General features: G+C 38.0%; 1 protein-coding gene and 1 long non-coding RNA gene across 17 annotated transcripts in view; one reads left to right on the forward strand and one right to left on the reverse strand.

The window, feature by feature from the left end:
- SPATA9 (spermatogenesis associated 9) overlaps window positions 1-27,220 on the reverse strand; it is a 79,922-nt gene that overhangs the window by 10,298 nt on the left and 42,404 nt on the right. For 3 of the 16 annotated variants that reach the window (NR_125327.2, XR_001742295.1, NM_031952.4), the window contains exons 1-4: window positions 20,316-20,513; window positions 20,050-20,138; window positions 12,934-13,161; window positions 1,475-1,570 (exon numbers count right to left, since the gene is read on the reverse strand). Coding sequence is in view for 8 of the 16 variants with exons in the window: in NM_031952.4 (NP_114158.2) it covers window positions 1,475-1,570; window positions 12,934-13,161; window positions 20,050-20,138; window positions 20,316-20,376 (474 nt within the window). In the remaining 8 variants the exon portion in view is untranslated. Of the gene's footprint in view, window positions 1-1,474; window positions 1,571-8,049; window positions 8,409-11,544; window positions 12,144-12,207; window positions 12,311-12,933; window positions 13,175-20,049; window positions 20,139-20,315; window positions 20,533-24,677; window positions 24,858-27,220 lie in introns of those variants that run through there. The other 13 variants (NR_125330.2, XM_011543666.2, XR_001742296.2 and 10 more) reach the window with 12 other exon arrangements.
- LOC105379090 (uncharacterized) lies at window positions 7,868-22,295 on the forward strand. Its single transcript, XR_948588.3, has 2 exons — window positions 7,868-8,027; window positions 22,117-22,295. It is a non-coding gene; the product is annotated as an uncharacterized LOC105379090 (long non-coding RNA).

The raw sequence follows: 27,220 nt of genomic DNA on the forward strand, positions 1-27,220 counted from the left end.
TGGGCTCAAGGTATCCTCCTGCTTCAGCCTCCCCCGTCAGCCTCCTGAGTAGCAGGGATTATAGGCACACACCACCATGCCTGGCTAAGAATTTCTTCCTTAAAAGACATTATTAAAAGAATGAAAAGGCAAGTCACGGAGTAAGAGAAGAAATTTGTCCATATATAATCAAAAAAGGACAGGCTCCTAGAATATGTTTTTTAAAGTAAAAATCAAAAATTGTTTTAAGAAAGACATCTCTCAATAGAAAAGCAAGAAGAGATTTTAACAGAAATTAACAAAGAGGATATCCAAATGTCCAACTAATATATGCAGAGGTACTCAATCTCATTAATAGCCAAGGAGATGCAAATTAAAACCACAATGTGATGCAAATTAAAACCACAATGTGATTATACTACATGCCCACAAAAATGGCTAAAATGGAAAAGATTGACAATACTGTCAGTAATGATGTGGAGCAACTTGGACTTAAAACTGAGATTTGTGTTAATTGTTAAAAAACCATTTTAGAAAACTCTTTGGCAATATCTACTAGGTATCAGCACATGCATACCTTATGGCCTAGCAGTTTCACCAAAAGATATGTACAGGAATATTTATAGCAACCTTATTCATAGTAGCCAAAATGAAATAATCCAAATGTCCATCAGCAGTAGAATGGATAAATAAATGTTGATACAGTCAATCAGTTGAATACTACACAGCAGTGAAAATGAACAAACTACTGCTACAGGCAGTGAATGATCTTAAAACAGTGTTGGGCAAAAGACAAACACAAAAGAATACATACTATATGACTTTATTTATATAGAATTCAAGCAGTCAAACTATCAGTAGTATTACAAGTCAAAATAGTGATATCCTGTATAGGAAAGGGTAGTGATTGTGAGGGGCAAGAAAGAGGCTTCTGGAATTATGGTAATGTTTTGTTTCTTGACCTGGGTAGTATAGAGCTTAATAGATTTTGTGATAATTCATTAAGCTGTACACTTTCCTTTTTGTGTGTTACAGTTTTTTTAAGTGGCTATTAATAGAAAATAAAACCCTTATAATTAAAAAATCTTTTATATTTTTCTCATGCACAGCACTTGTAATCCAAAATACACTAATACCTGCGTTCCCCAAAGTGAGAAACCCCAAATGTTAGAATACTGAACTTTAGCCAACCATGGTACAATGGCTGAAAAAAACAACTGTAGCTAAATAACAGTAAAACTAAAAATTCTTGACCAAAAATATTCAAGTGGTAATAAACTTTATGAAAATAAAATTTTAGTTATTTAAGCAAACTGGGTTTTGGTGGATTGACCTGGCTCATCAGAAAAGGAAATTTTTAATATAAAATTGTTTTGTGTAACGAGACTGTGAATGGTAACATTAAATATTGTACAGTATACTATTGCACAGTATTATTAACATTACACAAAATAAGTAGATTTATTTCTAGATTCTAATAATTTTCTTAACTTACCAAATAAATTAGTGCTGCATATGAAGCATATATTATGCTAGTTAAAGCAGTCTTTGCTGGAAAGGAGATGATTTCAAACAAAGAACCCTTTCTGACCTGCAAAAACAGAAAAGATTTTCTTAATAAACAAACATTTTCAGTGTTTCAATGTCATATTGTACAATGTTACTGTAAAATGAGAATTTATTTTTTTCTAAAGAAAGTCATCTACTTTAGAGCTATCTGGGCTTTTTCACATTGTGAAAATTATTTTTCCTTTTTTAACAAGAAGACAGTTTCTTGTGCTAATCAAAACCTGTGACAAATCTATAAAAATCTTGCATTTCTGCGATCTAAATGACTAATTTTTGCCAATTACCAACTGTGCACACTAGGAGGTGCTGCTGTGCATATTAGAAAAACAGTCTTTCCTTTGTTAAAATTCATGTAATCATTCTTTACTAATTATTCACAACCTCAATTAAGTAAACAGCAATCAAAATAATAAGCTTTTCCTAGAGATTAATGACCTGCTTGGAAATGTTAATCATGAGACTGCTGAAGGCGAGCATTAACCTTAGATGATCATTAAGCTTCAGAAAATGTTCTGTGCTCATATGCAACAGGCTCTTATGAAACACAGAGAAGTTTAACACCAATAATGAAGTTGCCTCTCCTGTGTTTCTAGTTTCTGGCAGTAGGTGTACCGGCCTGAAACATATCAGCTTAACATACTTAGTTATACTGTCTCATGGGCCACCTTTGTTGCCTTGAGCAGGGTATGAAATGAGGACTTTAGGAAATACATTCCCTTTCCATTCAGCAGTGAAGTGACAGTTAGCCAGGCTCCTCTGAAGTAAGAGCCAAGCAACTTAATGGCTTCGATGAACTTCCAAAAGGTACAGGCTGTAGCTGATAAAATCATATAAATGCATGGTAAAAACATGCACATAATGTTCATTAGACAACGTTCATTAAAGAGTTATAACATTGAAAAAACTAAAACAATGATCGTTGATTAAAGAGTTATAACATTGAAAAAACTAAAACAATGATTCCAGAATAGTTAGGAAAATTATGTTATATCCACTCAGTGGTATATTATGCAATCTTTTTATTTTTTCAAACCTTTTATGTATTTTTAATTGACACATTGTAATGGTACATATTTAAGGAGTACAATTTGATGTTCCCATAGAAGTCTATGTTATATAATGATCCAATCAGGGTAGTTAGCATCTGTATCACATTGTGCATTTATCATTTCTTTGTGGTGAGAACATTAAAAGATCCTCTCTTCTAGCTATTTTGTAATACATAATATTTTACTGTTAACCGTAGTCACCCTACTGCGCAGTAGAACACCAGAATTTATTCTGCCTATCTAATTGTAATTTTGTACCCATTTAACAACCTCTCACCATCCTTCCCTTTTCCCCTTTCCCTACCTAGTCTCTGGTAACCACTGTTCTCCTCTCTGCTTCTATGTACCAACTTTTTGTTGTTGTAGTTGTTAAAATTTCACGTGTGGGTGAGATCATGTGGTACTTGTCTTTCTGTGCCTGGCTTATTTCATTTAATGTGATCTCCAGATTCATCCTTGCCATCACAAATGACAGAATTCTTTTTAATGGTTAAATAGTATTCAATTGTGTATATAAACCACATTTTCTTTATCCATTCACCTGTGGTTGGACACGTAGGTTGATTCTATATCCAGGCTATTGTGAATAGTATGCAGCCTTTTAAAAGGTATTTCTGGGCCGGACACAGTGGCTCACACCTGTAATCCCAGCCCTTTGGGAGACCAAGGCAGGTGGATCACCTGAGGTCAGGAGACCAGCCTGATCAACATGGTGAAACCCCATCTCTACTAAAAATACAAAAATTAGCCAGGCCTGGTGGCGCATGCCTGTAATCCCAGCTACTTGGGAGGCTGAGGCAGGACAATCGCTTGAATCTGGGAGGCAGAGGTTGCAGTGAGCTGAAATCATGCCATTGCACTCCAGCCTGGGCAACAAGAGCAAAACTCCATCTCAAAATAAATAAATAAAAGGTACTTCTGAAGAACACGTGATAACTTTTTGTTGAACGAACACTTACATGGCACTGTCTACCAGGTCCTGTTCAATGTACTTTATAAGTATTCACATTTAATTCTTAAAACAATCCTATGAAGTTGGTATTATTATTATCCTCATTCCACAACTGGAAAGCAGAAAAAAGAAAAGTAGGCAACTTGCCCCTGGTAATATAGCTGATAAGTAGCAAAGTGAGGTTTAAACTGGAAATAGTACTCCAGGGCCCAAGTTGTTAACCTGATCATTAAGCTACGCTGCCTTGGGATACACTACTGCTCATGAAGAGTGGTAAAGGACTGCATTACAGGGATGGACTCTGGAGTAAATAGATGTAGTTAATTTCTAGCCCCAGAGTTCTTGAGTAATGAAATCTTGGACAAATTAATTCTTTCCTCTAAGCTTTGTTTCCCTCATCTCCAAATTGAGAATAATAGCTAATGTTTATCTCATAGATTTGCTGTAAAAATAAGAAAATGCTTGTAAAATTTTTAGTAAAATGTCTGTGCATGGGTAGTATTAAGGGACATTAATAGTCCCTTATTAGAGAGGGAATATTAATAATAGTAATAATAATAGAGAAAGATCAAGGTTCAAAATAGTAAGCATAACAAGTATGATTGATTCCATTTATATAACATACAAAAACAAGCCAAACTATGCTGTTGGAAGAAAAGGAAACAATTATCCTAGCAAGGGTGAGAATTAGTGACTGTAAGGCAGCAGCATCATGAGATTTCTTGAGTGCTGCTTACCAAGATGTGTTCAATCTATGAAAATTTATGGAGCTATACACTTAATTTGTGCACTATTCTGTATACTTCAGTATAAAGCTTAAAAATTCTACATCCCATGTTTTTATGATTAAACACAATTAACATTGCATAGAAAGAAGTTTGGACAGAAATGCACCAAAAGTTTAATTGCTGTTATGATTTAGTTATGTGGCTTTGTATAGTTAACATTTGTAGAACACTCATTACATGCTAGGTTCTATTCTACTGGCTTTCCTTGCATTCTCTCATTTTATCCTCTAACAAACCTATGAAATAAGAACACAGGTTCAGAGAAATTAAATTCTTTCTTGTTTTCTATATTTTCTATGTTAGGTTGAAAGTACATATGGTATTTTGTAAATGAAATTATTAAAATATGTGTACATCCTGTTCTAGTATGCTCAGTGTTCGCTTAGTGCTGCCACTACTGAATGCAGAACAAAAATGCCCACTGCAATTTCCTTCTTCCCTCTTAAGTGATTTACAGAACAAGGAAACCAAGAATAGGATCTAGCCTAGTAGCTAAGAGTGGGGGGGTGGGGGTGCTGGGGGTTGGGGAAAGGCTGTTTTCTTTCTTCCTCCTTTCTCTTCGGGCCGTACTAACTCCTAGATGTAGGGATAGGTAGGGAAAGTTTCTGCCCACTCCCTCCATAGGTCACCTGCAGCATTTCCCAGAATTCCTGGCTTCTGGAAAGAGTTTCCAGGAAATGAAGCAGCTGCTGCTTTTTCTCTCTAGAAAGAATCAAATTGATAGCATGCCTTTGAATCCCACTTTTAGGCTACACGGAGACAAATATACAAGTAGAGAGCAGACTCTCTAGGAGGAAGAAAAGCAGATATACCTCCTAGCAGAGTGAAAAGGTTCTTAAGCTTGTGAATATATGAATTCACAGTGGGAGGTCCATGTTCAATCATTGGTAGGCCATATACAATAAAAATAAAAGTTGTGTTGTATGGGTTGGATCTGTGTCCCCACCAAATCTCATGTTGAAAGGTAATCCCAAATACTGGAGGTGGGTCTGGTGGGAGGTCATTGGATCATGGGGGCAGTTTCTCATGGTTTAACACCATCCCCCCTTGGTGCTGTCTTCAGGATAGTGAATTCTCATGATATCTAGTTGTATAAAAGTGTATGGCCTCTCCCACCTCTCTCTCTTCCTCCTGTTCCAGCCATGTGAAGTGCTGGTTTCCCCTTTGCCTTCCACCTTGATTGTAAGTTCCCTGAGGCCTCCCCAGAAGCTGATGCTGCCATGCTTCCTATACAGCCTACAGAACCATGAGCCAATTAAACCTCTTTTCTTTATAAATTACCCAGACTCAGGTATTTCTTTATAGAAGTGCAAGAATGGACTAGTACGGGTGTCTACATGAGAAATTACTCTTTCTGTTTTATTACATCTTTCTTTCTCAGGTTTTGTCCTTCACCTAAAAGTAATTAAAGCTGATTAGTTTCAAAATAAATTATGTACTTGATATATGGTATGCTTCTGAATAATTAATCTTTATATTGTTTAAGGGTCATATTTAAATATTTTAATGCTTTTAATAATTACTTTTTATTCCTGTAACAAGAAAATATATTTCCTCCAAAATATATGTGGCTCCTGGCAAGTAGCCATTTTTCAACTTTATGATTCACTTAAAAAACATGTTTTTCATATTATAAACCATGCTGTTTCATTTTTGTCTTGCTTTGAGCAGAAATAGTGTATGGTAAAAGCTAAGAGAAAAAACAGGAGAAATTTGGTAAGTGGCAGTCTTTAGATGATCTTGGCCTATTTCAAAATTTTTATCTCAACCTTGTTATATTAATTTCACTTTATGTGCATATTTGAGTTAAAAAATGTCTTGGTATCAATGTTATGTTCATATATTTCTTTTTAAATTTGGTTATGTAAAACATGTAAAATATATGGATATTTGAGCAGTAAAAACATTTTGAACCTTTAATTCAACTTTTTCCACAGAATTTTGACTGCCTTATCTCATAAAAGAAGTATGTGTGTTCATCTTATTTTCACTATTGAGATAAATCACACAAAAAACCCAACAGTGAGCAGTAAAGATTCACTTATACATGACCTGAAGGTTGGAGAATTACCAGGCCCCATGTAGTTTACATTGTCCAAAACCACCCTGACGAGAGTTACAAGGGGAGTCATAGGGGAAGTTCTAACTCTCAGACAAATGTTGCAGGAAACACTGACTGCTACTTATAGAGAGGTCCAGGAAATAAAGTATTCCTGTTAAGTTTGGAAAAGCTGCACAAATGTGTCTTTACTTAGCAACTCACAACACCTTTGAATACAGGAAAGACTCCTGACTTTAAAGAAAGCTACCTGACTTTATTAACCCCAGTGTTAACATTCTGTAGAACATTGTTCTTAAACAAGCTTTTAATCCGGTGGTCCTGTAAAGGCTCAAATGTCCTAATCCCTTTGCCAACGTGGAGGAGTACTGTATGTCTTCAAGAGCCCAGGAGTTCTATCTAGGAAATATCCTCTTTCCCCGGGTCTAGATTATACCAGCCAAGTTAGCCTCATGGCAGGCCCATGTGGGACCTACAGAACTTCCTGATATTTATGAGGTTTATAGTTTAAACCCCAAATTGGAGTCTAACTTAGAGGGTGGGGTAAGGAAGAAACTTTACATAGGTAAGTTTCTGATCCTTATCCTGAAAAAAGAACACGAGTTCACTGGGATCCACCTTACAGCCCAGGCATTGTAAACGCTGAGGATTTTCTTCACTTTGGTCCCTATCTTATTCTATACCATGCCGCAGTATGCATACAAAGTAAAAACAGTCAACTCTAATGCCATTATAGGGATGAGTCTATCACAGGAAGAGCTCTTGGTCCTGTGGCTCTGCATTGGCCTGCCAGAATCAACAATGATGTCTGGGAGCTGACGTGTCTTGGCTGAAGTCAGCATTCAAGGCGATTATCTAGGTCACTGCAGCCTAGAGCAGCTGCGGACTCAACTCAGGCAGGCAACTCACAAGGCTAAGCAGATGCACCATTCTGTAAATACTGGCACTGGAGATGTTGAAAACTACCAGGAAATTCTCTACTAAGAGTTTTCCATTCCTGAGGCTTTTTATAGAACTAGCCACAATTCTATCACTGCAGTCTCATTCCTGCAGAACCTGGAGGGGTTTGAGGAATAATTTTATTCAGCATCCATAGAGCCAAGTACAAAAGAACCCTCTTCTAACAAGGTGGCAAGCTGGAAAGGCTTGACCCCAACCATCTGTGCACATGTCTCAGGCCATTAGAATCGCTTTAGGCCATTCCTGCCGGTTGGGTCTTTGGGAGGCTTCTATTTGGCACAACATTTCAATACGCTATGACATATTAAGCATGCTCTAGAGCTGAACATCCAATCAGAAAGGCCCGGGTGGATGGCAGAGGGAGCTCCTGAGCCAGTGTCCATTCTTCACCTTGAGAAGAACATTAATGGATGCTGCATTTCAGAGCTCCCCATGTCGAAGAGCTGAAACACTATTCTAGTTATTGTTTGTGTCCTAATGAAAATGTTCCTCTATTTCTTTGTTTCCAAAGGAAGTCACCTGCCTCACTGGTATTCTCAGCCATATAATAGAGAGTTTTGGTAGAGCTATTTAAGGTGCTCCAGCTACAAATGCATTTTTTCATCATTTGTCATCCACAAAACAGTGACCAGACAGAACACATCCAGAAGATATTTGAAAGACACCTTCAGGTAAGTTAACCAGGCCACTTACCTTCTTACAGCTAAGTTTTCCTAGAGTGATATCTTTCATGCATCCACAAAGCATATCCCCTTGCATGGTCCTTCCAGCTTTCACCCCTTTTACTTCCCCACACAAAGCTCCATCTGAGACAGGCAGTTTGACAATTCTTAAAGGAATTCATGCTGGAATCCACTCTGGGTAAGCTGAACTCTGTCTGATGCGGCTTCTCATACTACTGTACTTTGCTCTCAGCACACTCTGGTACCATGGATGCACTCCATTTACAGACCAATCCATTGACCTCTGCCACATCTCATACATTCCGGTTGCACCTTTGACTCTCCAGGCCATTGTCCTCATAGTCAGTTCTGTTTCTGTCCTCACTGAGCCTTTGAGATTTGAGAGACGTTGTTTACTACAACTTAGTTTTCCCTCACTGGCAATTCTGATTATCAACCCTAGCTACTGTATACTCCCCACGTAAAGCTTCTTCCTAACCCCAGCCCCCAAGGACCCTGGAACCTCTGACCTGGGACTGTTCTCACTTGTCTCACTCCAGCCATACAGAACTACTTATGTTCTCCAAATAAGTCATGTTCTCGCTCACCTCAGTATCTTCATATATACTGTTCTTTTCTTGGAATGATTCTCCTACTTCTCATCTAGCTAATTCCTACTCCAAGACTCAGATACAGTATCCTATCTCTAGAATGTCTACATGGACCACTCTTTGGAATGCTATGTCTCTTCTTGATGTTTCTGTAGTGCACTTTGCATACTTTGATCATCCACTTGCTACATCCTACTGACACTGCTTATTTGCCTGTGAGCCCCACAGTCCATAGGGCAAGGGTGAGACATCTCTGAGTCCCTGGTACCTAATCTAGTGATTTTGCATATCAGGTTTTCAATAACTTTTTTTTTGTTTTTGAGATGGAGTTTCGCTCTTGTTGCCCAGACTGGAGTGCAGTGGCACGATCTTGGCTCACTGCAACCTCGCCTCCAGGGTTCAAGCGATTCTCCTGCCTCAGCCTCCTGAGTAGCTGGGATTACAGGTGCCTGCCATCACGCCCAGCTAATGTTTGTATTTTTAGTAGAGACAGGGTTTCACCATGTTAGCCAGGCTGGTCTTGAACTTCTGACCTCAGGTGATCCACCACCTCAGCCTCCCAAAGTGCTGGGATTACAGGCATGAGCCACCACGCCTGGCCGCTATTTGTTGAATAAATAAAAATGTAGAAGTATATTTCACTTCCAATAAATTTAATCATCTTAAAACTTGGAAGATATTAAGAAGTAAAGCTGAAAAACATCTGGTTCCATACACATGGCAGACTGAGCTAATGTGGAGCATCTCACACAAAAACACCTAGAAATGTTTTAGGGTACATGTACCCTAAAACTTAAAGTATAATTAAAAAAAGTAAAAAAAAACCAGAAATGCTATAAAAATGAAGTTCAAAAGATGTAATACAAAATTGAGCTTACAAAAAGGAAAGGGACCTTCCCCCCACCCCCAATGCCACGAACAAAAAGGGAACTAAAAGCCAGAGCAGCAAGTGTGTGAGCTTATATCCCAGGAACTCTGGAGATGTTACTGGACCCTAAAATAATGGTTGGGTGCTTGAGTATTAATACAGAGACTGGATATGAGACTTGGGTAGATGTGAGGTGGGGATCAAGCCTTTGCAGAACTGCAATTTCAGTGAAACTGGGACTCAAACAATTGCATCCACCAGAACAGGAAAAAAGGAAGCTGGTCTCCATGTGGGACTCCCATGAGAGATTAGAATTCCAGGCTTTCCCCTTATAAAGGGATCTGAATTTACCCTATCAGTGTGATGCAGGAAATCCTAAGCTGAAAAAAACATAAAGATTGGTCTCAGGTTGCTGGAACCCCTGGAGCAACAAGCACAATTTCTCTAGAGGGACAGTTTCACCACCAAGGCCAAAAGAGGTTTTTTTTTTTTTTTTTAAATAAACAAAACTCTGAAGTTCTTTTCTTTTCAAGTTTCAGTTAAAATTATAACATAAGAAAATTATAAGTGAGATGCAATATAGATCACATAAGATAATTAGAATAAGGGCAAAGAAGAAGAGATTTCATAGTCATGGATTTTAAATTAATGTCAGAAAAGATAGTCACAGTTAACATCCTGACCTTACACAAGTCACTTAGTCCCTAAGCCTGTTTTTCTTAGGTTCCTGGAATAAGTTATCACACTTGATCTCTAAATTTACCTCAGAAACTCATTATCAGTCAAAGTAAAAAGGCAAACAGATTATGTCTCTTAGTTCTCATTACTGGATAAAAACACACAAATTCAACTGGAAAGACAGATTTTTTTCTTGCCACTGAATTTTCATGAGTGTTGGGAGATAAGTCTCCATGGATTTCTCTCATTCCTGTGCAGATTGGCCCTTCTGAGCAAAGGACATGTTTGAATAGCAAACAGCCTTGCAAAGTAGAAAAAGTATATCCTTCTAGAGAGACATGTACCTCCCTGAACATGTCATAGGCCATTAAAAATAAAGCCCTCTCCTTTTTCCCTGAAACATGTACTTATATTCCAGGGTAATGAATAATTAATCTCTCTCTCTTTCTCCCTCTCTCTGTCTCTCCATCTGTATATCTTTTTGGAGAGGAGGCTAGGGAGATGTGCCAGTGTCCCTATAAAAAGTCCCCAGGGTCTCCTGATTTCAAGGTTCCTCTCTCCTGTGATGCAACGTACTGTGTGCACAGGCAACATTTGGCCCACATCACATTGCCCTAAGGAATTCAAGCTTAGGGAACCAGCACAAGATACTGCTCTGGCTGATGCTTTTGCTGTGAATAATAAACCATGTGTTCGTGACCCAAGGCTCGTTGTGTGTGTGTTTGTGTGTGTGTGTGTGTGTGCATGTGCATATGTATGTGTACAATTGTGGCAGGCTAATTTGTTAGCTTGTGGGTAGTGTAAGATCTCAGATCCTTCACAGTTCTGACTTAGTAGAGAAGCAAAAAGGAAGACCCTGAATAGCATAATGACCTGTGTCTTTAAAGATTATTTCATATTAAATACAGAAGTATTCTTCAAAAGACATTTCTTCTGCCAACCCTCTATAAAAAACTATAGGTTTGACAATGCAAGGAAAGAAACATGAAGTCAAAACATTAGGTTTAGAAAGATATTTCAGTGGGGATTTAAGATAATATGGTTTAGCTTTGTTTCTTTTTTGCTTTTTATTTTCCTTTTTTTTCTTTTTCTTTTTTTCTTTTTTTTTTTAGACAGAGTCTTGCTCTGTTGCCCAGGCTGAAGTGCAGTGGTGCAATCTTGACTCACTACAACCTCTGCCTCCCAGTTCAAGTGATTCTCCTGCCTCAGCCTCCTGAGTAGCTGGGATTACAGGCACACCACCATGCTGGCTAATATTGTATTTTTAGTGGAGACAGGGTTTCGCCATGTTGGCCAGGCTGGTCTCAAACTCCTGAGCTCAAAGGATCCGCCCGCCTCAGCCTCCCAAAGTGCTGGGATTACAGGCATGAGCCACAGCTATGTTTATTTTCAGTGATCTAAAGATACAGGATTAAGGCTTGTAGTTCATAAAGAATCCAGTGGTTGGCAAACACAAACCATTTTTTACTTTCTCAGACATCAGAAATTATAAAAGAGCCTTTTATGAATGCTGCTCTCAGGCAATTTGTAGCTGAAATATATGATGATTTCTAGAAATGTCAAAATCTTTCATTAAAGAGAGACTCCAACATAAAGGGTATTTGTTGATTTCAGCTATCCAGGATCCATTTCTTACCTTCTTGAAGCAACCCAGATTTTTGAGGATTCCCTCATTCCACACCACTCTCAGGTCATGTGGTCTGGACAGAGCTCCAACCCCAGCTCTAGGGATAAGCAGGTAATCAAGTTCTAGGCCAATCAGTGCATCTCATGTCCTTGGTTTAGAGGTAAGCACTGAGAACACAAGCCATGCTCTTGGAATGAACCTGGAGACATTCCCGTTGGGGTCAGGGGTTTTCTCCCTCTTTTTTTTCTGCTGGAATTGAACCTGGAAGATTATAGCCAAGGAACAGCTGCAAATTATCTTGCAACTATGAGGGGAAAGTCAGCCTAATAATGGAGTCAAGACAGAAAGCAGAACCAAGACACTGAGCAAAAGCGAGAAAGGATCCGGAAGGTATCGTTTGAATACCTGTATCCAGCCATGTCGGGAATCTCAACAGCTCTGGGTTGTTTATGGGAGCTAATACATCTTCTTTTTTGGTTTAACTCAATTGGAGCCCCATTTTCTTCTCCTTCAACAAAGAGTTCAAATTAATTTGTCCTGCAGTTTAGATGCCAGAATTGCAAAATTCTGAATCTTTTGTAGTGACATTTAGGATGCTTTGTATAATGCCCAAATTGAAAAACTCTGAGTTCTGTGCCACGAAGTTTAGAAAGCAAGAAATTGATTCCAAAAAAGTTTTAAGAGTTGTTGTCCTCAACAAAATATAACACAGCCTCAATAAGAATGTAGAAAACGTAATTTGAATTTATAGGTAAATATACTCAATATATTATGTCAAACAAAGGTTGCCTTGGAAACATAACAAAGTTATGAGGAAAAAGGAACAAAACACAATAATTTTTAAGGCTAGTTGTAAGATTTCTGTTAGATTTAACATAAATGGTAATTTACATGCATATATTTAAGTTGCACCATTTGAAATGGACAGTTTCATATAGTTCAATTAAACAATAAGGTAGAAAAAAGTCCACGTTGCACTATATTTTAAAAAGCCCCAACCATTCATTTCTCTTATCCAAGTATATCTGTTTTACACTGGACAATCAAGTTCACCACATTTTATTTTTCAAGTTTTGCAAATTTAAAAGTTTCTTAAAAAAGGGGAATTGTGCATATGCAGTATTCCCTTACCTGAATGTTATATAGGGGTTGCCTCGGCGCATTAACTTCCCTCAGCAGACGACCAGATATGTCCCTTAGCTCTAAAAGTCTGCATGCAAGCTGAGGATGCAGAAGTTTGGCCACTGATTTGGAGGATCTGGATATGCTGTTTAATCCACGAATTAATGTTGCTCGATTAATCTTAGCTAAAGCAATAGCCATCCTGATTTTGGATGTTTTCTGCGCAGGTTCTCTTTTCTGAAAAATAGGCCTTTGAAAAGTAACTGATGTGTAATCTCCAGTGCATTATTAAAACTACTTCCGGCAGAGACTGACTACTATATAACTACATTGTGCATGGTGTCATGCATATATTCAACATCCAATATTTCTGTCCCCCCATGAAACCCCTTGAATTCCCTGCCATGTACTTAAACCTTTTTTTTTTTTTTTTTTTTTTATGGAATTTCATTCTTGTGGCCCAGGCTGGAGTGCAATGGCACGATCTCAGCTCACTGCAACCTCTGCCTCCCAGGTTCAAGCAATTTTCCTGACTCAGCCTCCCGAGTAACTGGGCATACACGCAAGCACCACCATGCCCATCTAATTTTTATAGTTTTAGTATAGACCGAGTTTCACCATGCTGGTCAGGCTGGTCTCAAACTCCTGATCTCAGGTGATCTGCCTGCCTCAGCCTCCCAAAGTACTGGGATTACAGGTGTGAGCCACCACACCCGGACTTTAAATCTTTATATATGTATATTTTTTTCCCTGGGATAAATATCAAGAATTGAAGTAACCAGCCAAAAGATACAAATGTTTCATTTTCCTCCTAGATTTACATATTTTGTGTACTGAATTTTTACTTAAAAAATTATTTTTTAATTTAAATAGGTTTTTGGGGAACAGCTGGTATTTGATTACATGAATACGTCCTTTTGTGGTAATTTCTTAGATTTTGCTGCACCCATCACCCGAGCAGTGTACACTGTACCAAATGCACACTGAATTTTTAAAGAGCTATTAAGTAAACAAGAATTCTTCTTAACTGATTTCTCCATTTGAGCTCTACTCTTTAAATATATATCTTGCTTTTCTTTTTTTATTTTCTTCTTGCTACAGCCATGCCCATTTCTTTGTCATAGGCAATTATAATGCTGAACTTTACTCTTCTATATCTGTCAAACTAGCCTGTCAGAAAATCTTACTAAATTCTTTCTCTACCTTGTCCCAGAATTTGACCACTTCTCATTACCCCCAGTACAGCACCCAGTCTATTATATTTGAATTCTACCATCATCTATTTTCCAGATTAGTGAATTTGCCTCCTAAGTGGTTTCTCTGCTTCCACCTTTGCCTATTTTCATTCTGTTCATCAATACACCAGCCAGAGAGATCTAATCAAAACTTATGTCAGATCATATTTTCCTTCTATTCAACTGCTTCAGTGGCTTCCAGTTGCTCTCAGTGTAAAAGCCAAAGTACATACTGTGGTCCACAAGGCCCTACAAAGGTTGTCTTTTCTTCACCTGTTCAGCCTCATCTTTTTCTCTTTCCTTCCCTTCCCTAAAAACTTGTCGAAGTTTTTAGGTGTCTGGGATTTTGCACTAGCTATGCCATTTGATTCCTCAAGCATCCCAAAGTTCACTCCCTCACTTCCTTCACATCTTCATTCAAGAATCACTTTCTCACTAAGACCTTCTTGGTCACTCTACCAAAATCATCAGTTGTGCTCTCTATCTCTGCACCTCGATTTTGCATCCCTTCTCTGCTATAGTTTTTCTTCTCCTTAACACTTACACTAATGTACTATATTGTTTATTTTCCTTGTTCATTGTTTTTTACTTGACTGGAGTATAAATTGTAAGTGTTTTATATCCATTTAGCTTGCTTCTTTTTCTCCAGAGCCAAAGTAGTGTCTGGCATGTAATACGCACTCTATCTTTGTCAGAATGAATGATTGAAGAGTATCAGAAAATAAAACAAATTAATCTTGAGAAACATCAAAAAAATACCAAATATTACATTAGAAACCACACAGAAAGTTTTCAGTGCACAGTTCTATAACTTTCACAATAATGATAATTCTCCACAAGAAACAACTCACCAAAGACAAAAATATAATTGAATTAGCATTCTAGTGACAGTCATAGTCTCATTACTTTCAGAAACCTAAATGCCATTACAGGTAATTTCCAAACATCATTGGTGCCTTCTTAGCAGTTTTTTTTCACACATTAACAATAACCAACAACAACAAAAAAGCATAGAGAATTCAGAAAAGTACATCTAAGGGCATAAAACTCCAAAATTTTTGGCATGGATTCTCATATGTCCTGTCTACAACTTCTATTTTGTAGTATATATGGTTAAGTACAAGATAACAGAAAAAAGATATATTCATCTTTCATATTTAAAAACTCACAAAAATTGACTGTATTTATCCTAAAATATTTTTCTCTTATTCCAAGAATGAGCATCTAAATTAAAATTTTTTAGATACCCAATTGTAGTACATAATTTAAAGGTTTACTACTTTAAATTCATCATATGGAAATCTTTTGAAATTTGCAAGTGTAAACCTTTAAAAATTACTCTTTACTAAGGAAGTAGATACTAAGGCTATTATCTGGGCTGGTTGGGACAGAAGGGTTGGAAAGAACTGAACCCCAGAAGCCATCATCTCAAGCCAAGATTCTAAAATTAACTTTCTGGCCAGGCACCATGGCTCACACCTGTAATCCCAGCACTTTGGGAGGCCAAGGCGGGCAGATCACTTGGGGTCAGGAGTTTGAGACCAGCCTGGCCAACCTGGTGAAACCCCATCTCTACTAAAAATACAAAAATTAATCCAGCATGGTGGCAGGCACCTGTAATCCCAGCTATTTGGGAGGCTCAGGCAGGAGAATAGCTTGAACCCAGGAGGCAGAGGTCGCAGTGAGTGGAGATTGCGCTATTGTCCTTCATCCTGGGCGACAGAGCGAGACTCCATCTCAAAAAAATAAGTAAAATAAAATAAAAGTAACTTTCCTAGCCTCAAAAAGAAGATTTCCTTCAAAATCTATCCAGGAAGAACGATTTAGTAATCATTATTCTGGTTGTATTCTAGGTATATTCCTCTATAAAAATTCCATTGTCACTCCCATCAAATCTTTTTTTGTTCTAGGCCAGCAAGATGGCCTTTTCGTAAATAAATACATGCCTGGGTGGCGCGGGGGAGGGGAGGAAGATTTAAATACTAATCACAAAATTTAGAATTTTAAGATACAACCCAATTAATAAAGCCCTCTAAGAATTTTTAAGACCATTCCTTTCACTGTTTGGGAAGTATGGATCATCCTGGAAATAAAAAAAATTTGCCGCACTTACAATCTAACCTTTTAAAAATAATCTGCTTAACAACGGAGTATTAGTAATGTTTTCCACATAATTTATATTTGAAGGGTAAATAACTTCAAACATGTGATAATATCCCCTAACTACTCAAGTTTCTTGCCAATCTCAGCAACACATTCTTCAAAGGAAATAGTGGGAAAACAGCAATATTAAGTGTTTTGAAAATGAGAAATAAAGTAACTAATTATGTTCCTATTTGAGTTGGGTAAAGTTCTATCAGGAAATTACTTCAATTAGTTGGAAATAGGAACTCACAGCTTTATCTTTGGGGATCACAATATTCAACTGATGTCACCATAAACCATGCTTATGGTTCTAATGATAATGAGGCTATTCAGAAGGTAGAAATGAATGAATGAAGTTGCCATTTCTTTTATTAAATAAAACCCCAGTTTCTCTGATTTCAGCAATGGTGGGAGAATCAAAACTTGAAAACGATAACAAGGTTTTCCATGCCTGTCTCTGGCTTCCTAGGATTCACCCTGAGCCTTCTAAACAATTACTACTGTGCTGGCCTGAGCTATTTGACATTGACCAGGCATGTACATCTGCCCATCTCTTTCCTTCCTACTCCAGAGCATAGCCAAAATAGTTTCCAGTGTTTCAAAAGACTTTATACCAAGGCTAGGGGAATGCAAAAAGGGGGAGCAACTGGATGCCAAGGCTAAGATACAGCATTAGAAAACCCAGTTTGCCCTCAGAAACTCTTAAGCCTTACCTCTCATGCTTAGCTGATCTGACCAGCACTTGGATGCCATGTTACTACTGTGCCTGCAGATTCCTACACTTTAGTATCACCCCTCCTCAAACACTAGACCCAAGAGAGGGCCGGCCAAAGGCAGAAAGCAGTTGCTTCCCCTGACACTAAGGCCAACCTTCCAAGTTCTGGTGTCCTGTATCCAATATGACCGCCTCTTCCTATGATGACTGATACTGGGAATGTCCACTTCCCCCAGGGCTATTATCTTACAGGCTAAATCAGTATTGTCTTCTATTATACCATCTAGGAGTCCATTCTACAAGTCCCAGAACTCTACTATAGCTAAGGGAGTTCAGTAGGTCCTGACAGTTAAAACTCATCCGATTCAATGGTAAACAAGAATGCATATCAGTTAACTTTTTGTTTGTTTGTTTTTTTGAGACGGAATCTCGCTCTGTCGCCCAGGCTGGCGTGCAGTGGCGCGATCTCGGCTCACTGCAACCTCCGCCTACCAGGTTCACGCCATTCTCCTGCCTCAGCCTCCCGAGGAGCTGGGACTACAGGCGCCCGCCACATTGCCTGGCTAATTTTTTTGTATTTTTAGTAGAGACGGGGTTTCACCGTGTTAGCCAGGATGGTCTCCATCTCCTGACCTTGTGATCCGCCTGCCTCGGCCTCCCAAAGTGCTGGGATTACAGGCCTGAGCCACCGCGCCTGGCCCAGTTAACGTATTTTTAGAAATGTATAGGCTCAGTAATTTGAATCAACTGCATATATAACAATTACCTTCTATTCAGAACAGAACATTATTTTTGCTAAATAAGAGTTTAAGTCACAGCAACCATTATTGGTGAATGAGGGGTTCCACGTAAGTAAATTTTCTGGGTAACTAAAATTTTTTCCACTTAGTGTTGGCTAAATTTTTACTGACATGCAAAATAACTTTAAAAAATGTATCCCATACTTGACATCTTTGAGGATTCTGACTGCTGCTAATTCCTCTCTCCTTTTTCTCTCCACTTCAATGGCTTTCATAGAATTTCATTCTCTTCATTCTCTTCTTTTCTCTGATGCCCTGCTAACCCTTTAAACAATGGCATTGTCGGGGGTTCTATCCTATGCCCTAATATTACTACACAATCTTCTTGAGCAGTGATGATTGCCATTTTGGTTTAAATGTACACTACAGTTAGTTAAAGACATGGTTTAACTATACACTATAACAACACACTATACACTGATGATTCCCAAATATACATCTTCAGCCGGGCTTCTCTTGAGCTTCCAACCTACATATGCAATTTATAACTCAACTCCAAGGCTTGGACAGGATGTGGCATGACCCCTTAAACTGTGATCCAATCAAACTCATTATCTCCAAAGCTGCTCTTCCTCATCTTGTCTTTGGTCCTAGTTAACGGGATCACTATTCTTCTAGCCACCCACGAAATCCAGAATCTTCCTCAACCTTTACACATTATCTCTCATCCCACACTGTCAGTTTCAAAGTATGCTAAATATCTCTTGTGCTCAACCCATTCTATTTCCAATGTTAATGTCCTTGTTCTTAGCTGTCATTTGCAACAAAATCTTCCTAGAAGCTCTGCCTCCATTCGGATCTCATTACCACTAAAAAAGTATTTTTGTTGTGCAAACTGAATGTCATTTCCAAGCCCAAAACCTTTCTGTGGCTGATATCTGTGTTACCTATAAGGGAAAGTCCAGTCTTTTTCACATGGCATACAAAGACCTCCACCCCGTTTTCTACTATTTCCTATCTCAACCCTTCTATCCTACATGCCTGTAATTTATATTTATTTGACATTTTGGAAACATGCTATGCTGTTTCCTACTTTTTGGCCTAACCCCCACTGCCAGTGGAATATGCTTCCCTGCCCCTACCCACTGATCCCACCCTTTTCTTTACCTTGAAAACTACTATTCATCCATTGGGACCCAACTTAAAAGCATGCTTCCTCCATGAAGCCTTCTTTGACCTTCCTCAGTAGAGTCATTCACTCCTCTAAATTACATACAGAGATGTAACACTGACCATATTCTAATGCAATTACTCCTTTACAACTCTATCTCCATTAGATTAAGCTCATTAGCGGAAAGGATCACGTCGTGTTTATCTCTGTATTTCCTCTCTCCAGTCCCAAGCAATAGTGAGGTGTTTACTAAATGTCTGATGGCTGGTTGTCTGCAGGCGTGGTTAAAGTTAGCTCTAATATCCCTCCTTTGGAATGAAATATGTATACTTTGTGATTACTGTGTTAATCAGAGTGCTTTTTGTTAACTGCCAGGTTTTGGTTATATACCTCATGTTTGACATTGTCAAGAGTCTGACTTCTGGATAAGTGGATTGTTCCTGTACCATGTACCTTCACAGCATATTCTATTCCAACTATGATCAAAATGACCGAACCACATTTTTCCATTAAGAGCTGTGTGCCTTTGAGTAAATTAGGTTACATGTGTTCCCTAAACAAGTTGTTACTTTTTCCTGACTTTATGTCTCTTCAAAATATATACCTCCCTCCTCTTTCACTCCCAATATTTTATCTGTTTCAAATCCTTTTTGGAACAGAGGTTTAAAAAATATACATGTATACCTTATTTAAATTGATACTACTGTTTTCTTTCCTTATTAAACACACATCCATGTTGTATTTATCTTTCCATTGTTACAATTTATCTCAAGGTTTTGCACTGATTTGACATAGATTTTTGCTAAAGTGTATCTAGGTATTTTTCTGATTTTACATTGCAATTGTAGTGTTGAGAGACTGCCAGGTGTTTACCCTAATGACATAGTTAATGTCTTTAAACTTAATTCTCAATCTACCTCACTTCTTGGTCCACAATCTCTCTGCTTCCCAAAGACCCCTCTTAATGAGTAATATTTGAAATTTGTTTTTCTGAGGCAAAATTAGTGTTTTCTAAAGTTTTGATCACTGATCTCAAAATCAAGCATTAAATAATGGGTATGATACTAAAAATAGAATATATTTTTTCTATTCCTTTTAAAGGTTATAAAATCACATTACCTGATTAGACTGTGATAATCTTAGGATGGTGGGAAATTCATCTTTAAACTCATCTACAAGGTCCATGATTGCTTTCTGGATCCCCTCGACTAAGACAAAAAGAGGTTAGGAAAAAGAAAACTTTGAAAACATCCCCTAAATGTTTCAAAAGAACATGAAACACTTGATCAAATTCCTAGATGACTCGGAAAGTAAAGGAACTCTAGGGGATCTTATTCCCAATTGTTCCCACACCCATACGCCCTTTACAACAAGATTGTGTATACTTCTTCCAGAAAAGTTCTTCAACACCTGCCCACATATCCACCCAACAGGTTTGATTGGCATGGTGAGTTCTTGCTTGGGTTCCTAGTCCTTAACAAGCTTGCAGGCCTGGGTAATGCTTGTCCTAGTCTGCCATTAGTGAAAGATGAGGGTAGCCTTCCACTTGGGAAAGCCAGCAAGGACAGAACTCACAGCTCACTGCTGGAATTCTTTGTTACTGTACAATAGGCTTCCGAGAACCTGCTACAGAATCTTCTGACATCACTCTGGCAGTGAGAGGAAGAGGAGTGTGTTTGGAGGCATAAGGGAAGGAGTGAGGGGATTGAATAATAAAGTACACTAAGGAGTTCTATGATATAAGTTGAAATTTGTCCCAAATTCTGCAGTGATACCACAAATAATGGATCATCTGAGAACAAAAGGTCCCTTTGAAAAAAAATGGCATGTGCTTTAAAAGAAATGCTTTATATATGATGCCAAATAGAAAAGAAACACCAGCAGTGAATTCAGAAAGACTTCTGAATAGATTGTTTTTGCTTCACCAATGAGGATCACTAGGTCAAACTCGGGCAAAACTGTAAAGTCTTTGGTTTCTCTGCTTTATAATCTCAATCTCTTTTCTTCATCTTTTACCCTCCTAGTACCCTCACATGTCAGATGACCATTAGTTCCCCCGATCAAATATGGGAAGAACTTGATACCATGCAGACTTGATTGACTGCCTAGTTTTATATATATATAGTTTGTTTGTTTGTTTGTTTTTTGAGATGGAGTCTTGCCCTGTTGCCCAGGCTGGAGTGCAGTGGCGCGATCTTGGCTCACTGCAACCTCAGCCTCCCGGGTTCACACCATTCTCCTGTCTCAGCCTCCCGAGTAGCTGGGACTACAGACACCCACCACCACGCCTGGCTAACTTTTTGCATTTTTAGTAGAGACGGGGTTTCACCGTGTTAGCTAGGATGGTCTCCATCTCCTGACCTCATGATCCGCCTGCCTCGGCCTCCCAAAGTGCTGGGATTACAGATGTGAGCCACCACGCCCGGCCGACAGCCTAGTTATATTTTAGTGTGAATGAAATAGTTGGTTAACCTGAATCCCATTCTAATTTGAAGCCCTCATATTTAATTGCAGCTAGACCACTTTCTTCAGCAAGCATAAAGCCACGGCTGCTGAAAGTGTCTTCATGGGAACAGTTTGGGAAAGAGAAATCTTCATCCCAGGATTCCTCTAGCATGGGAAGCCTGAAAATCCCCAGCTCTCATGGTGTTCTTAGTCCACAATCTGCCTTAGAACACCCTCCGCCATACCACATTCACCTCTCCTAACCAAAATAGAACCTGCTTGCCTCTCATGACTCTCATGGTTAAGATAACTATGCCCTTAACATTTGGAAAGTGCAATCCATCGGTACAAAGAAAATCATACTAGACAATGATGAATACACACGCTGGGAGTCTATGAGATAATGAAATACTTTATCTGTCCTAGCAAGATAGTTGGTCATCAGCGTCCACTGCAGATGAACACCTGGCAGATCCTTCTCTTTCTGGTCTTCCTCCCTGTTCTCCATTCTCCTCCCTTCCACCATCCCCTAGTTCTTTTTATCCACTGATTCCAATGTCATTGCCCAACTGGTTTTACCCAATTTTCTTCTCTTTTCATCAGTCCTCTCCCTCCTAGGCATCCTATAAAATTAACAAATCTAGAGGAAAAGCATTTCTCAGGCTAATGTTTACTGCACTTAAAGCATAAGCAACTCTTTGTGTTTGCTAACAACGTCCTTTTTGTCTTTTCTTACTTAAGAGCCCTCTCCCCAGAAGTAGAGTGGTGAAAAATGACAGACGGTGATGGAGTAAGAAAATCTCACCCTGCAGCACTTACATTATGACCTTATAATATTTTGGTTTGTGTTTAATTATCTTCTTATGCCAATAATCTTATGCATCTTATGTTATTTCAGATAATAAACTTAGACAAAAGAACCCACAATGTCTGTTTTTTTCTTGTTAATTCTTCATTATGTTATTCTTTAGAGTTCATAATAGAGTACCCCATAATTATAAAATAAACTAGGAAACAATTAAAAATATCTCCAAATAATTTTTATGACAGCTGTACAGATTTATCTGTACTTAAAAGGCTTTAATACAGAAGAACAGAACTTTTGTTTTGCACACAGCTTTGAAGAAAATGAACATTTTACATAATCACATATAGACAGTATAAACTTAGTGATAGAAATATAGAAATCTGGGGGTCAGTCAGACCTGGGTTTGAGTTTCAATTCTATCACTTACCAGGCTTTGCCGTGGGCAAATTACATAAGTTCTATAAGCCTCTTACCTTTTAAAAAGGAAACAATACTTGATGAACATTAAATACCCAATAAGTGGCAGGTTTCATTAAATATGCACTGACCTTTTGGTTTTGGAAATTTTGCAAAACTTGGGTAAAACTCAATGCTGGGCTTGCCCGATTCACCTGGGCTTCAGCATTTTGATTTGCACCAAACTGGCTAGAACCCTAACAACCTTCCTAATTGGATCCTTCCCTCAAACCTACTTCAAATTCAACAGAGATGAAGTCATACTCCTCACTTCATGTATTACCTACCAATCCTCAAAACCTATCTGCCATGTGAGACTTCTTTAAGAATTGTTGTTGGCCTTAGATCAAGGATTTGGACTCGAAGTAACCTCCTTTGGATGTCAACCCAATAAACAGATCAGTTCTGTTGGTCCCAGTACTATGTCCTCCAGCTCACAGTGTGCTTTGTGACTATGCACATCTAAATGAGTGGCAAATGTTTAAAAACGTCAAAGTAATTTTAAAACTTATTATCTGGAGGAAGAGAACTGATATAGATTAAAGTCCAACTAAGTACTAGTAACTGTGCTAGGGGCTAAGTTAACATCATTTATCTTTTTTAATTCACTTAACAATCCTATGAATTAGGAATGTTTTGAACACAATCTAAAAGTATCAATACAAATACATTGGTATTACCAATATCAATTGTCAATCCTCAATGATAGTTTTTTCGTTTGTTTGTTTGTTTCTTTTGAGATGGAGTCTCACTCTCTCACCCAAGCTGAAATGCAGTGGCGCGATCTCGGCTCACTGCAACCTTTGCCTCCCGGGTTCAAGCGATTCTCCTGCCTCAGCCTGCTGAGTAGCTGGGACTACAGGCACCCGCGACCACGCCCGGCTAATTTTTGTATTTTTAGTAGAGGCAGGTAACCATGTTGGCCAGGCTGTTCTTGAACTCCTGATCTCTCTCAGGTGATCCACCCACTTCAGCCTCCCAAAGTGCTGGTATTACAGACGTGAGCCACCGTGCCCAGTCAATAGTAGTTTTTATAATGATAGTTGTGTCATTATATGATATATGCAGGGCTATTCTGAATAGTATAGAATGGAAATAATTCAGATACCCAACATTCATTAAATGGTTGCTACCTCAAGACTATGGAAAAGTTTCTGTTCATTACGTTTGTAAGATGTGGATTCTATATTTAACTATGTAGGTAAAACTAATTTACAAAAAATTATGTAAAACAATATAGTTTATAACCATCCAAAATTATATGTACACAAATGAGACTTAGAAAGGAATCTAGTAGTAAAAAGCCCCCAAAACCTCCAAGTTAAAAAAAAAACTAGGAAATATTATTTCCATAGGATTGTTCACTTACGTCTAATTAATTAAATAACAAGTTTATGACATGAATTGAAAGTATGATTGTGTATCACCTTGCTTAGAGACTAGTGAAAAGTTTTATATAAATCAATCGAGCGTGCAGAAGAAGTCTCAACATCTACTATTGAAGACTCAAACAGGTCCTGATGTTGGAGAACTGATGGGGCAACCTGATGAAATCCTACATGCATGAGACTGCAGGACCCTCCTGGGGGGGTAACTCAGATTCAGTGAGGCATCCCACTCTGAAAAATCCAATCTGGTAGCAATGCCTTAATAATCAGAGGAGAGATGTGATTCTGAGCACAGCCTGGGGTATGTCCCTCAGAGCTATCCTTGATCTCACATTCCACAGGGATTAGGAGTAGATGGGAGGAAAAGATAAGCCTTAAGTAGTCTTCCTAAACTTTCTAAGGCAGTGGACACAAGTTAGCTATACAGCTAGGGTATTCCTTTCACGGACAGCAAAACAAAAAAGGGAAAAGAGGCATTCTCTCGGACTTTGCCAAAGATCTCTGGCTCTTTGAAAGTGTTGCTACATCAGTAGTGGTACCTATTGTGTCCAGAAAATAGCCAAAACCAAAGCAGATCCCAAAGGAAACATGAAGGTATTCATAGAAATAATTAAAAGGGCCAAGCAGATGCCACTTGCCAGGCTGCTTACCAGATTTGTTCCTGATAATTAGACACCCCATGGGAATTCCCAAAAATACTTAGGAGACAGCAGATTCAGGCCTTTGTAGAGACTTGAAGTTTTGCAGATGGGGCAAAACCAGTGAAATCCAGGTTATCATTATTCTTGTGATCCCACTTTCAATCATAGGTTGGCCAAGCTTGGGAAATCCTGGGTCACAAGAGAAAATGTTTAGACCTTCTCATTCTAATAAGAATTTGAAGCCTTTTGTGTGTAAATAGGAAATTTGTAAGTTGAATCATTTAAAATGTATTAGGGGAGTGTATTCTTTAAAAATAGCCCTAAATAAAATTCTCCTGTAAGGCAAATAATCATTTTAATAGCAAAAATAAATGCCTGCTACATAGCTCACAAATATGTTTCAAAACAGATATATTGATAACATTTTGATTCTTCTTAAAAATTCTTTAATTACCATATTTTACAATTCCAGTTGGGTACCATTAATAAGGAGCAGGCAATGGGAAAGACTAATGGATGTCTTCAAATAGTTATGGTAAAGTAACAGGCTATATAGAGGAGAGAATCGGCAACATTAGCATTGTTACCCAGGTTTGGGAGTTGCTGAGAGTTGGTTAGATGGTAGGAAGCAAAAATGGCCAGATTTATTTGTTGTCTGTTTCCCCTATCAGATTATAAGTTCCCTGAGTTCTGGATCTTTGTTTTGTTCGAGGGTGTATTCCCAATACCTAGACAGTGCTTTTACATGATAGGCACTCAATAAATCTTTCCAGATGTTGGTGAGAATGCAGAGAAAATGGAACATTTATATATGGTTGGTGGTAATGTAAATTAGTACAACTTCTATGGACAACAGTATGGAGATTTTGCAAAGAACTAAAAATAGAACTACTACTCGATCTGGCAATCCCACTACCATGTGTCCACCCAAAGAAAAAGAAATTATTATATCAGAAAGATACCTGCATTCTTACATTCATTGCAGCACTTTTTACAATAGCAAAACATCATCCTAAGTGTGCATGAATGTGTAATTGAATAAAGAAAATATGGTGTGTATATACCATAGAATACTATTCAGCCATAAAAAAGAATGAAATCTTGTCTCTTTTTTGTGAGACAGCATCTCTCTCTCACAAAGTGCAAGAGGTGCAGTGGTGCAGTGGTGTGATCAAAACTCACTGCAGCCCCAAACTCCTGGTTTCAAATGATCTTCCCACCTTAGCCTCCTAAGTAGCTAACTACAGGCATGTGCCATCATGCCTGGCTAATTTTCTAAAATTTTTATAGAGATGGGGTCTGGCTATGTTGCCCAGGCTGGTGTTGAACTCCTGACCTCAAGCAGTCCTCCCACCTTGGTCTCCTAATATGCTTGGATTACAGGTATGACCACACCTGGCCAGAAATCATGCATTTTACGCAATGTAGATGGAACTGGAGGCCATTATGTTAAGTGAAATAACTCAGAAGCAGAAAGTAAATTACTGCATGTTCTCACTTATAAGTGGGAGCTAAATAATGCATAAACATGGACATATAGAGTGGAATAATAGACACTGGAGACTCAGAAAGGTGAGAAGGTAGAAGGGGGTGAGGGATGAGAAATTACCTAATGGGTACAATGTACAATATTTGGGTAATGATTGCACTCATAGCTTAACCTTCACCACTTCACAACATATCCATATAACAAAACTGCTCTAGTACTCCCTAAATATATAAAAATAATAATTTTAAAAACCTTCCTGAATGAATATAATAAAATCTATTAGTTACATCTCAGCCAAGCTGAAAAATTTTATCATTAAAAAATTCATTATGGAGTCAACTAACATATATGTAAATGCAAGCACCGAAGACACATAAGACACACATATAAATACACATAGACACACATGTTTTATCAAACATTATAGAAAGAAAACTTTTTCTCCACAAAACACTGCATTTTAAAAACTGTAACCCGTTATAGTGAATACTGGCTCATGTGACACATCCCAACAACACGATATGAGATCCATAAGACCAGAAAACAGACACAATAAGAACATTTCCCTTTCTGCTGTTTCCTGGTAAATAATACCGACTATATTAATTGGAAACAGTCCATTATTGTATATAATTAATTGCAGACAGTCTATTATTGTACATCTCTGAGACTAGAAAATAAATGTGTAGCAGGTTTATGAGGGTAGTATTGATAAATACATGAGTAAGGTAAATGTAGATATGTAATGCAGTAGAGATCAAAAGAATATACATGTAAACAATTTCAAAATACTTATTTTTAAAAAGGAATCCCTAAAATTTTTTTAAAGCTGTATATCAAATTGGTTATATAATAACACCTAGAAAGGATTTATTTGGAGTGAATTTAAAACACAGTACAAGACATTGCAAGGACAATAAACCAAAAAGACATGCTAAGTCTCATTCAGTCATTTTCTTGTTAGTATTAATATTGGTTTTGTTATTTGAAATTATTTTTCTTATAGTGCAGGACAAACACATTATTGGGTTAATAATGTTAGGAATAAAAAATTTCAGTGTAA

This window comes from Homo sapiens, chromosome 5 (assembly GCF_000001405.40).
Source record: "Homo sapiens chromosome 5, GRCh38.p14 Primary Assembly".
Classification (NCBI taxonomy): Eukaryota; Metazoa; Chordata; class Mammalia; order Primates; family Hominidae; genus Homo; species Homo sapiens.